This window comes from Homo sapiens, chromosome 11 (genome assembly GCF_000001405.40).
Source record: "Homo sapiens chromosome 11, GRCh38.p14 Primary Assembly".
Classification (NCBI taxonomy): Eukaryota; Metazoa; Chordata; class Mammalia; order Primates; family Hominidae; genus Homo; species Homo sapiens.
Window position 1 is genome coordinate 117,791,924 of NC_000011.10, and position 12,150 is coordinate 117,804,073.

Genomic DNA, 12,150 nt, shown 5'->3' on the forward strand with positions numbered 1-12,150 from the left:
CATTTCATAGCTGGAGAAAGTGGGGCTCAGAGAGGCCCAAAGTCACATGGCCAGTAAGTGCAGAGCCAGGATGTGAATGAAAGATTTGCCTTGACTCCAAATTTCTACCACACCAGTGGGTTGCAACCTTTCTTATTTTTCATTCTACTCCAATATATGAAATTGGATAATGAATAAAAGCTCTGGTTGAAGCTCTGCCCTCTGGCCCTCCCCCTCTCTACCTCTGTCCATCCCCTGAGGCTCCACCTCACCCCTTAGGCCTCCATACCACATCTCTTGGAAACCTCTGTGGGCTCTGGTGGGCCAGGCCCCTTCTGGATCAGTGGATATGCAGAAAAATAATCTGGGAAGGCTTTGGAGCTGCACCTGCCATAGTAGTATCCTCTCAGGGCCCTGGAAATGCAGACAAAACCATTCCCGAGGCCACACTCCCACTGCAGCATCCCAGCTGGCTCGCTGGGAGGGGCCACTCAGCTCTCCTGAAGTGCTCACTCCTCAAGCATCACTCCAGGCTCTTGACACGCCCTTCCCTCAGTGACTGTAGTGCCTGTCCTCCCTCTGCCCCGCCATAACCAACCCACATACCTGAAGCTGCCCTAGGGGAGGTGGAATGAGAAGCTGGTGCTATATCTTTCATCTCTCTGAAGCCACGACCACCTCCCAGGCTAGGTGGTGACAAACCAGGAGGGTGAAAGAGCATTCTGCCTCACTTCACACCCCCATGCCATCAGCAACTACCTCACTACCTGCTGATGGCAGCCCTAGGCACCCAGCTCCCTGCATTCTAGGGGTGCACCCACCAGGAATCTAATGCGGGCCCTGGATTTCTATAGCTAGTTTGCCCCTCTCTTCACCCTCTTCTTCCTGCACCATGAGAGGAGCAACCCACATCCCAAGTTTGGTCTACCTTACGGTGTCTTGGCCCATTGCTACCCATCCTACCCCAATATCCCCAGTGCCACTGTCTGTCCTTGGATAGGGGTGGTGGGAGCTCTGGGGCTGCCTTGCCAGATGGTGAAGCCAGTGCTGAGCACTGGAGGCACATATGGAGGCAACAAAATGTAGGAGACAGAAGCATTACCAACAGCAGTCCTTCTCCCAGCTCCTTCCCCACCCCCTTCCATGCAAGGAGGAAGCCAATGACTGGCTGCTACTGAGGTTGAGGTCAAGATGCTACTCACAGAGGGCACAGCTTTTGGCCTGGCTAGGTGAGCATGCAAATCCATATGCAGATTATATGCAAATCTGGGGTGTGCCCTTGGGTTCCTGGCACCCTGCCATCGCTGCTGCCTGTAGCTCACCCTATTCATGCACCTGGGTACCCGCTAGAATCGACTGGGCTGGGAGCTGAGAAAGTGCTTCAGGAACTAGGGGATCTTCTCTTGACTACTTCAGAGGTCCCCCAGAAAACAACTCCTCCAAGATCACGGAGGAGGGAAGAAGCTCGCAGCCTGGAACTCGTATCCCTGCAGAAAAACTCTCTGAGCATCTGCCCTCCCCTCTCTTCATCTACAATTAAATCATCCTTCACCAGCCAGAGCAGGGTACCAAGCAAGTGGCAAGTGGCAAGGATGTGTCTTCTCTAAGACACAGAGAAGGTCAGGAAGGCTTGAGGTCTGCATCCCTCTGTCATAGGCTAACAGTCCATGGGGTGCTCTGGACAGACCTTGACCCTGTGTCTGGGGGCTCCTAGCCAGCCTGTTTGGGGCCTGCTTCCCTACCAAGCTCTCCCTGGGCCAAAGCCCTGTCTGCTTGCTCACATCCTCTCTGATCCTCATCCTAAGAAAACTAAGCCTCTCTGTCCAGTCCCCCGGGATCTGTTCAACTTAAGCGCCGCCTTTGGGTCTACTGCTTACTTGTTTTTTGTTTCTAATTAGCTCCCCCATTCTACTGCAGAAATATATTAAAGGCAGCTGGCTTTGATGCCCAGAAAAACGAAGCGTCGGAAAGGCTTGTCGGGCATCATGGCCCTGCCAATCTCCCTCATGTTATTCTAGCAACCGGGGTCTCTCTGCCACTCAGCCCCTCCCCAGTATTCACTGGCCCTTCGCCTGCCTCCCCTAAGTTGCGTTTGCCATTTCAAGATTTTAAAAACACATTTCCCCATTGCCCCCCCCCCCTTTTTTTAATTAGACACTGAACAGAATGTTGGAGATTTTCTTAATGCCCTGACGAAGGCTTTTAATTTGGTCTTCCCAAGAGAGAAGAACCATGAGTCCCCATCGGAGAAGTTGGGGTGGGAAATGAAAAAATCAATGCAATCCATTATTTTGGCTTTTAGAAAACAGGAATTTTAGTGCCGGGGAAGCTTGTTCTTTTACACAGTAAAAATGCAAATGCAGGCAACACAGATGCTGGCACGCTGGATGGAACAACGGAGAGCGCCTCGCCGGGGTTCATCCGGCTGCCTAAACCTGGATTTGTTTTGGCAATAATAAGGCAGTTATTGGAGACTCGATAACCGATGATTAAAACACCTTCCCAGTTTAGTTCTGGGGAATCAGTCTGAGCTCAGGCATCATAAAAAAAAGGTATTTTGAGAGGAATGGAAATAACAGAAGCTTAAAACACATTCAATAACTGCTTAATTCCATCCAAAGGATGCTCCATCTCATCCTGTTTTCTTCTCTCTCTCCCTGCCTCCTCCCGCTCCTCACAGATGGACGTACAAATTATTGCAAGAGGATATTGTTTTCTGTAACAGGCTCGAACATTCACATTTACATTTTCCTTGGTGCCGCGGGGGTGACTGGCAACGGGAGAGAAAATACTCCAAACCCCATCTTTCTTGCTGTCTCCGCATCACATCTTCCCCCAAGCCGCCTCTGCCACCCCCTACCACGCCACCCCAAGCAGAACAGGCCCCAGGGACCAGCCTGGCACCTAAGACCCAATTAAGGCACCAAGGAAAAGAAAAGCCTGTCTGGCGAGGCACCCTGGCGCCCAACAGACAGACGCTGGAGCCTCTGAATCGCAGGGGCACCGGGCTCTGCAGACCCAAAGGCCACCGAGGAGCCGCCACAACTGGCATCTCCAGCCCGCCTACAGGTCCAAGGCCACTGGCAACTTCCATCTCGAGTTGGACAAGATTTTGCCCCTTGGCTGTCCTGTTGCCTTCTGGGCCTTTCTCCACCCCCAACCCCATCTGCTCCCGCCCTATCAAATAGCTCGGCTTCATTTATTAATGCCAGGCTCCTGGAAGGGGGAGGGGAGTGTCCTTCAGGTATTTGCTGAGGGGCCTCCTGCACTCCCCGGGAATGGGCTGTCCTGGAAGATGTCTCCAGAGAGTGTTGTGGAGGCATGGGGGAGTTGGGGACAAAGCCGGGCTAGAGTGTGGCAGCGGCTTCGGCCTGTGCTTTCTCGCCTGACAAATTGCGAAAGGGGATGGGGGTTGGAGAGAGAACTATCGAGAGAGAAAGCCGCTCCTCACCTTATGTATTTTTAATATTAATGTAATTAAAGCTGCGAGCCGAGCCAGCCTGCGGGGGCGGAGGGAGGCAGGAAGAACCTGGGGAGAGGGAGACTGGGGTTCGGGGGTGGGGCTTGAACAGGAGGCAGGCTTCTTGCTCTGCTAAGGTAGGATGAAGGAGTGCGATGCGGGGGGCAAGGGGTTAAACAGCAGAGACCAGCCTTGGTGTGTAACCCGGGGGACCCCACTGGGCCTGAGAAACTCAACTACTTTGTCGACGATTTTTGAGGCCACCCTTCCTTGTCCCGCAATCCGATCGCCTAGTAAATGCCAGCAGTATCTGGGCCTTGAGTCTGGCTTTGACCCGGCAGTATCTACAAATAAGGGTTATCCTCTTTCCCCCAACCCACGATGTATCGCAGTGGGCTCCGGCAGGCTGCAGACTCCAGACCCCTGGAGCACCGGCAGGGCAGGGTTGGACCCCTCCCCGGGTGGCAACCCTCCACTGGAGTGCCCTTCCTCATCGTCTTGGGGTTAAGAGTTGCCGCCCGGCCAGGGCAACAGCCAGGGCAAAGGGAGAGAGAAGCCGCCCCGGGGCGAGAAGGAGAAAAGTTAGAGGGCTGAACAGGTGACGCTGAGCTTGTTGGAGCGTGTGTGCTCCACCACGCAAGGGCGCGGAGTTCGGCCGCCTCATCTCCCGCCATCTGCGCGCCCGGGGGCACGTCCTCTGCGATAGCCTGGAACCCAGACTACCTGCGCCTGCCTGGTCCCGACTCAGTGCCCAGGTGGCTTCAGTCGGAAATGTCTGCCCTCTTCCAACCTCCCGATCCCGGCTGCCTCGCGGATCAGGTACGCAGCGCCCCAGCCGCAGGTCTGGACATGCCGGACACCTGGACCCACCCCTAGCAACCCCCTCTCTCCGGGAAGAGGGACACGCCCCCCAGCCTGAAGACTTGTCCCCAGGTCCAACTGGCCAGGCGCGGAAGCGGAGAATCTCGCATCTTGGGGCGCGCTGCCCGAGGTGGCCACGGTGGCGCACCAAGCCGGGGCTAAAGCCGGGGCAGAGGGGTGGGGTAGGGCCGGGGGAGGGTGACCTCTGGGTTTGGAGAACAAACTTGCTATCCGAGGGACCTCCAGCTCTCGGGACTCTCACTATCCCCACCCTGCCTCCAGCCAATGCGCGGATAAGCGCCATGCGGTGCGCCAACATTCGCGCCAGGGCTGGGGTCCGCGGCGGGAGAGGGACGCACGGACATAGCGGAGGAATCAGCCGCCGAGTCCGAGGCCTGAATAAGCAAGGACTCCTAGGTCAAGAGTCACGGCCTGAGGACCCCTCGACTCGGAGGGCACTCCGGGGTCCCAGTGCCACCAAGCCGCAGGAAGAGGGCAAGGGGCTGGGGGAGGGGTCCAGGGCAGAACTGCCGCCGTGCAGGGAGCAGGGAGATGAGGGGCTCCTTTGCCACCACCCCTACGGGCGCGCCCCAAAACGGCAGACGCGGGTGGCTGGCGGAGCGGTCGGGGGCTGACTCTCACTCGGCCCCTGTCAGGGTGCCTGCCCCTCCCCGCTGCGCCCCACCCGGGGCCTTGCACCCCGGTCGGTTCCCCCACGCACCTGGAGCCCGCCGGGCACCCCGCCTCGCCGCCAGCCGCGCCACCCTGGCCCCGCCGCCTCCGCCGCCCAGCCGCCCGCGCAGGTCTCACCTTTGTGTAAAGAGTCCAGGAGCAGGAGGAAAGTTACCAGCCACATGCCATAAAGAGGCCCTATTCTCCGGGGAGGTGGTCCTGTGGCCGGCCGTGCGGCAGCGCCTCTCCCCCGCTCAGCGCGCTCCCAGCCGCCCGCACTCGGCGCCCCGCTCTCTCTGCTCCTCAGCCCAGCGCTCGGCTGCGGCGGCGGCTCCTCCCTCCTCGGCTCCCCGGCTCCTGTCATCCGCGGGGCTGGGCTAGGCGGCCGCTCTCCCCGCCCCCCCGCGGCACCCCGGGTGGTGAGCGCCGCGCGAGCCCGGAGCCCAGACGGACCCCAGCCCCACAAGCCCAGGAACAGGAGCGGCGGCCCGGGCCAGACCGCCCCGACCCGGCTCCGCTGTCTGAGAGGCGAGGGGTCCCTGTCACCCACCGGCTTGGAGCCTGTGGTCGCAGACAGGCATGTGTCATCCATGTGCCAACAGCCTGCCATGCTTCAGCCAAGGACGCCCGGTTTCTACTGGCCTAAGTCACCTGGGACACGAGCTTCCTGCCTCTTTCGGACTCAGCTTACCCGGCCCCCCCACCCTCCCCAGGAGGAGCATGGACGCTCTGGGTAGAATCCCAGGCTTTTCAGTGCTGTCTGGTGCTACTCCCCACCCCAAAGTTCATAGCTGCCCTTCCAACCCCTCGTGACTTCCGCAAGCCTGCCCTCCGGAGAACCCCAGATGAGTCCAGCCACCCCCTGGCACGCTGTTCGAATTTTCCTCAGCACTTGGCACATTGTGACTATTTAAACGGTTATTCACAATGAGCAGTTTAATGTCTACGCTACCTGTGTTATCTTCCTCCTTTGTCTTCACCTACCCACCCCTATAGCTTTCCTGCCTGACAGAAATTGGCTTATTCCTTACACTCATCTTTATGAAGTTGGCATAGAATAGGACTGGAGTGAGGGCGTCTTCTCAGTGACCAAATGAATGTTGAGCACCTGCTGTGTCAGGCACTGGCTCAGGCACTGGGGACTCAGGCATGGCTGAGCCAGGTCTGCTGTAAAAGGTCAATATGGTTGGAAAGCCCTCCTTTCGTCTTAATTCCAAAATAAGAGGATACATAGAACCCAGAGAAGGGATCCAGGTATCCCTGAGAATGGCCTATGAGCCAGGACTGTAGCTCCCTTTGCAGGGTCATGGAAGCTGCTTTGAGTATGCCCTGACAATTGGGCTGTACCTGGGCAGACTCTAAGGTGTGGAGTGCGAAGTTTGGAGGGAGAGAAGGGGTCCACTGGCTAGCTGCATTTGCCAGAGGAAGAAAATTTACTTCCTCGAAATGTGCGGCCTAAGTTCACATGGGAGAATTGGGACTCCTCACTCCCAGGTTTTGCCAAAATATCCCTAGAAATTTTAACTAAATTTTGAAAAGTGTGTTTTTTAATATGTTAAAATGTACATAACATAAAATTTACCATTTCAACCATTTGAAGTGTACTATTCTGTGGCATTAAATACATTCACGATGTGCAACCATCATCACTTACCATTTCCAAAACTTTTTCATCATCCCAAACAGAATCCTGCACCCATTAAATAATAACTCCCCCTTCCCCTCCCCTCCCCCAGCTCCTGGCAACCACTATTCTACTTTGTCTCTATGAAGTTGCTTATTCTAGGTACCTCATAAGTGAGATCATAAAGTATGTATCCTTTTGTGCTTGGCTTACTTCACTCAGCATAATGTTTTCAAGGTTCGTCCTTTAAACGGGTGAGAAAATCGGGGCTTAACTTGTTCAAGGCCACCAAGGTTGTATCAGAAGCAAGACTAGAACCCAGGCCTCCCGACTCCAGAGCAGAGCTTGCTCTATAAGCTGCAGCATCCCTCGGTGGCTCAGCTCTTCATGCAAAATCACCACCCTGAAACAATTTGCAGGAGGTGTTTTGTCATCTGGAAACACAGGCATAGAACAGAGACGGGGGGACAGACTGCAGGGGGTGTTTGAGATGACCCAGACCGATCTTTTGCTTTACAGATAAGGAAACTGAGGCCCAGAGTGGGGAAGCCATGAGCCTTCCCCGAGGTCACGCAGGGAGTGACAGAGCCCTCACGTTTCCAGTCTTCTGTCTTAGCTCCCATCTCTCACCGCCCTCAGCCTGCTGGCTTATTCTTCTACCATGCCCCCTCCCTTCTAAAGGGAACGGTCATTGAGAGGAATCCAGTTATTTAAAACTAAGCCTATTGACCCAGAGCACCTGGTCAGGTCATGCCTAAAATAAACCGCTAAGGCAGACAGGATGAAAGGGGCTGCTGTCTGCTGGGAGGGGATCTGAGTGGGCCTGGGGTAGCGGCACAGCTGCTCCGTGCCTCACACGCTGGAAGTAGCGGTGGACCCTCTTCTTTGCATCCACCCCAAGTACCTCCTACAACCTGAGTGTAGGAGGCTTTATGCTAGTTATACACAGGGGGCTTTAAAGAACCACAACATGTGTGTTACCCGAAGGGCGAGGTCATTCATTGTGCCGGTGACTGCAGTCTGGCTGTCCCGGGAGGAGACATATACGTGGAAATAAACGGGTGGTCAGTTGGGGAGAGCAGACCTGGGGACCCCCTCTGGCAAAAGGAAGCTTTCTAATGTCATGGTTAAGAGCCTGGCTTTGGAAACAGCAGGAGATGAGTCCTCAGCCCAGCTCTGCCACTTGCCAGCTGTGTGCCTGGGAAATGTATGTGTGCCAAGCTGCAGTTTCCTTACCAGTGGAATGGGGACATCCCCAGCATCTGCCTTGGAAAGTCGTAGCGAGGATTAAATAAGACAAGCCCCATGGCTGACGCATAGTGAGCACAGGTAACTACCATGAATGGGAACAGCTTTGCTCACAAGGACCTTGACCTGTGGGAACTGGGAGGAGGGAACAGCTCCACTGGGGGAATGCTGGGACGATATTGTGCCTTCCATGCTGTGACAAAGCCAGAGCCAAGGAGCTGGGAATCCAGGAAAGGGGCTGCAGAAACACGGAAGGTGCACACTGAGGCGGAAGAGCCTGGAGAGATGGCTAACAAAAGAAGGACCTGAAAAACAGGCAGGTCAGGCCTCATGCTTTTTGTGTTTCCCATTGATTTTGTTCTTCCTTAGTATCTAGGGAAATGTCTTTGAAAATGACAGGTTGGCTCAGATGTATTTAGAAGTCTCCTCTTCGACAGGAGTTGTATTGGGGTGGGCAAGCCAGCATGCCAGGAAATCCCAAGGGAAAAATGAAACGCCGGGGAAGAGAGTCAGGCGGCGTGTTCTACCCCACGCCCACCTTAAACCCTGACAGTCCCCTCCCCAGCTGACATTTTAGAGGGGCTATATTTTGATAGAAGGGACAGTTCCCAAAATTATATGGAAAACTTCACACCCACACACAAATATATTCATGCCAGAGTGAGAACAAACACAGTTGCCCAGGCAAACATTCATGTGTACAGGTAAACATAAACACCTAATGACAGGCACACCTGTGCTTCAATGTGATTTGAACCCAATCCAGAAATTCTGCATTGGCACCTATGCATATGCTCCATTTTTTTAAGCCTCAAATTTGTGGGATTCCTTTCTAGTAGGGACACACTACCCATTTAAAAGCAGTGATCAGTTTTAATATTTTCTTGCATCAGAATGCTGGGTGATGATCTGTCTGTATTTTGGCTTTTGTGCTTTTGTTTTTGTTTTTTTTAAACAATGCCAGTTGAAGCAGCTATATGAAGTCACTGGGAGCTGAGCCCTCTCCAATTCAGGTTAATCATGGATATTTAGGGGGTATTATTTTGCCATGTTATATTAAGACTAGAGCCATCCTGAGAAACAGCAGATGTTTTTATTGTTTAACTCAAACAATAAGCTTATATATTTTGGATACTTTTCTTCAAAAACAAAGGCATAAAATTATTTTAACAATGGCTTCATATGCCCTCTGGAATTCTTTGACAACTTGAGTATAAACAGGGTTTTCATAAAAGGAATCAATACTGAACCAGGTCTGTGTGAAAAACTTAACTTTTGGTATTATATAGCTAATTCAAGATTGACCTTCTTAGTACTTACTTATCAGTTGGGGGAGGAAAAAACAAGGATCTCCCTGCTTCCCTCCCCAAAATTTATAATTGATTTTAATATTATAGAAAGAGTTCTCATCTACAAATCAGAAATCCTAGGTTCTTGTGTCACCTCTGTCTCCATAGCCAGCTGTGTTACCTGTGACAAGTCACCTTGCCTTTCTGGACCTCAGTTTCTTCACCATTGAGGTGAAAGAGCTGGGCTGGAATGATCACCAAGATCCCTTCCTAGGACCAAACACAAGGTAAATGCAAACAAATATGCCCATTCCCCCCTCCTACCCCACATAGGTGTATAGTGTGTACCCACAAATGTGTGCAGGCAGAGAAACAGAAGCTTTTATGCACAGATATTCAGAAACTAATAGGCACAAAAAATTACACAAAATAAACAGTTTTGGCTTCAAATATATACACATACATCTAAAATACCATCTTCTTGAGATGAGATGAATCAGTACAATTCATAGACTGTGATGCCTATATATAAAAAAATATTATGTGTCATTATACTACCCAGGTTCTCCTTAAACCAAAATTCTGTCTGCTGGGCTCAGAAGATGTCTAGGTATGCTTGCCACTTACTCTCTCATCATTTTGGATGATAATATTATGGCTCTAAGATCACTGGAGCAAAGGGTCTAAAGCCCTGGGGCTCCGCCTGTACAGATGCAGTCTCTGGGGTCCCATTGCCCTTGTTCAGGCTGCTGTCTCAGCAGTGACACCAGGATGGTTGGTCAGGGGCTGCGGAAGCCCCCAGCAAGGCAGGAGTCCCCTGAATAACTGTGGCCTCTCTCCTGCTGTTCTTTCTCAGCTCACAACTCTGAAATCGGTTGAGAAGCCAACCCAGAGAGGTTCCATGTAGTCCGGATTCGACAGAGCTGAAGCTCATTGTCACATTTCTCTCTGGGGAGCAGTGGGGTGGAAGGTATGGAAACTAAGAGAGATAGGAAAAAAAAGAAAGTGCAATGAGCAGAGCTAAACTTGCTGGCTTCCCAAGTCTTCCGGCATTTCTTCTGGCCCATGTGTCACTCACAAATGTGCTTATCAAATTTTATGAAAGTGTCTTCTACACTGGAAAACCTTCACCTTTCTCAAGTACCCAGTGCCCCCCTTTTTCACCTGTTTAAGGCTTCCCATTCAGCAGGGCCTGGTCAGGCACCCCCAGTTTTCCCTGACCAGGCCTCCTCTGGTCTCCCACTGCCTCAGACATCTACTTGGCCCATGGGTCTCATCCCTTTGTCTAGAATTGTGGCTATTTAGGCATGTGTCTGACTTGTCTCCTCTTCTAGACACTGGGCTCCGACCCTTTCGATTTGTACCTGCAGGCCCTAGCCTGGTGCCTCCTGGCTCTAGGGGTACACTCAGTAAGTGTTGATTTAATGACCAGATGGGCTCATTCTTATAAGGTAGCAGATATCTGATTACAGCCTCACGTGCCATGCCTTCCAGAGAGATGTCCCTTAACTAGGATCAAAGCCTTAAGCTTGAAAGTTCTCGTATTGGAGTTTCTCGTCTCTAAGAGTGAGCATTTGGCAGGACATTAGACCCCGCAGGAGTGCTGACCCCTAAAACCAAAGAAGTCTCAGCAGTTCCTGCTGAGCCCGCATCACTGTGGTCTTCACAGTTGTCATCTTGACCTTGTAGGCAGCGCCTCTAGGTTCCAGAGGCTTTATGTTTTCGTCCATTTCTGATTCTCACCTAAAAGGATCTGGATACATATGCCAGAATTGTTTTGATCATTATATAGATGAAGACACAAAGTCAGAGGAGTCCCAGAGGCATATTTGGGATGTTTAATACCATGACACTTACACAGCTCAAGCTTCAGATTCCTTTAGGGCCCTAGTAATGTGTTCACATGGTCAGATATGAAAACACTGTAGAATAATAGAGTTTAACTACTGTCAATCACAGCTGCTACCCTTTTCTGCTCTGGCTTCTCGGTGGGTCTGGTGAACATTTTGGGGGGATCTGACTCTGGCTTGGGATTGGTGGAATGTATTTATATGGTTCACAGGCCATGCACGTACTTCCAGGATAGGGAATGGCTTGCAGGAACACTCCTATCACCGACTGGGCCAGCTCACTGCGCTTTGTGACATGAAGTTGCAGAACCAGAAGTTGTATCACAGTATAACTGTGGCCTCAGGTGCCTGCACCAGGGGTGTGTGTGTAGCATAGGAAAGACAAGGTTTGAAATGCATGGAGCCAAAAGCCAGCTTATGTAAAGCTGTGAGCAGAAGTAACGTAAAAAAATTTTTTTTAATTTAGAAAGCATTTTTGAGGTGTGTCAGTTAATACAAATATTATGTTATCTGTCTGGATTTCATGATGGCATTTGTCAGTTTTTTCAAGATTTGTAACTTGTTGCAATTTCTTTTTATCTTTCTAAATTAATAATCACATTTGATTATTAATATATTAATGATCATATTTGTATCTAATTTTGTATTCATAATTGTGTATTGTTTTCCTTAGTGAGGCCTAAGCTTCCAGCCCTCAATGGTCTAAGCTTCCAGCCCTGCAAAACCTGAATCCGTCCCAGGAACTTTCCTTGGGTTACACTGTGGCTGGGGACCAGGTTCTCTGGATTCTGGTCAGGGCTCCCCGCTTGCCTCAGAGGTCTTAAGTCTGTATGTCAATCATGTATTTGTACAGTGCTGTTCACACAGAAGCCCCCTTGGAGAGATTTTCCTCCCCAGAGAAGAGAAAGTCAAGGCCCAGGCCCATGGTGGTGACCTTGACTTAGATGATGAAAGTTCTCTTCCTAGAAAGTCTGCCCATTTCACCACAGGCTGGACTTGCCAGTCCATGCGCTGGAGGATCTCAGGATGGGAGACAACTTGGTGCTGCCGTAACGCCTTCCACGGTCTCTCTGCAGGGCAGCATCCCTCCTGTCACTGTGACTGGCCACCAGCATTGTGGACCGAGACCCTCCTCAAAGTCCAGGAGTTGCTACAAAACACTAGCAA

At 51.9% G+C, this 12,150-nt stretch overlaps 1 protein-coding gene across 5 annotated transcripts in view; it reads right to left on the reverse strand.

Annotated features, from left to right (window-relative positions):
* DSCAML1 (DS cell adhesion molecule like 1) overlaps positions 1-12,150 on the reverse strand; it is a 389,743-nt gene that overhangs the window by 364,152 nt on the left and 13,441 nt on the right. For 4 of the 5 annotated variants that reach the window (XM_011542918.2, NM_020693.4, XM_011542917.3 and 1 more), the window contains exon 1: positions 5,111-5,293. The exons of the other annotated variant lie outside the window; for it this stretch is intronic. Coding sequence is in view for 3 of the 4 variants with exons in the window: in NM_020693.4 (NP_065744.3) it covers positions 5,111-5,156 (46 nt within the window). In the remaining variant the exon portion in view is untranslated. Of the gene's footprint in view, positions 1-5,110; positions 5,294-12,150 lie in introns of those variants that run through there. 5 annotated transcript variants of the gene reach the window in all.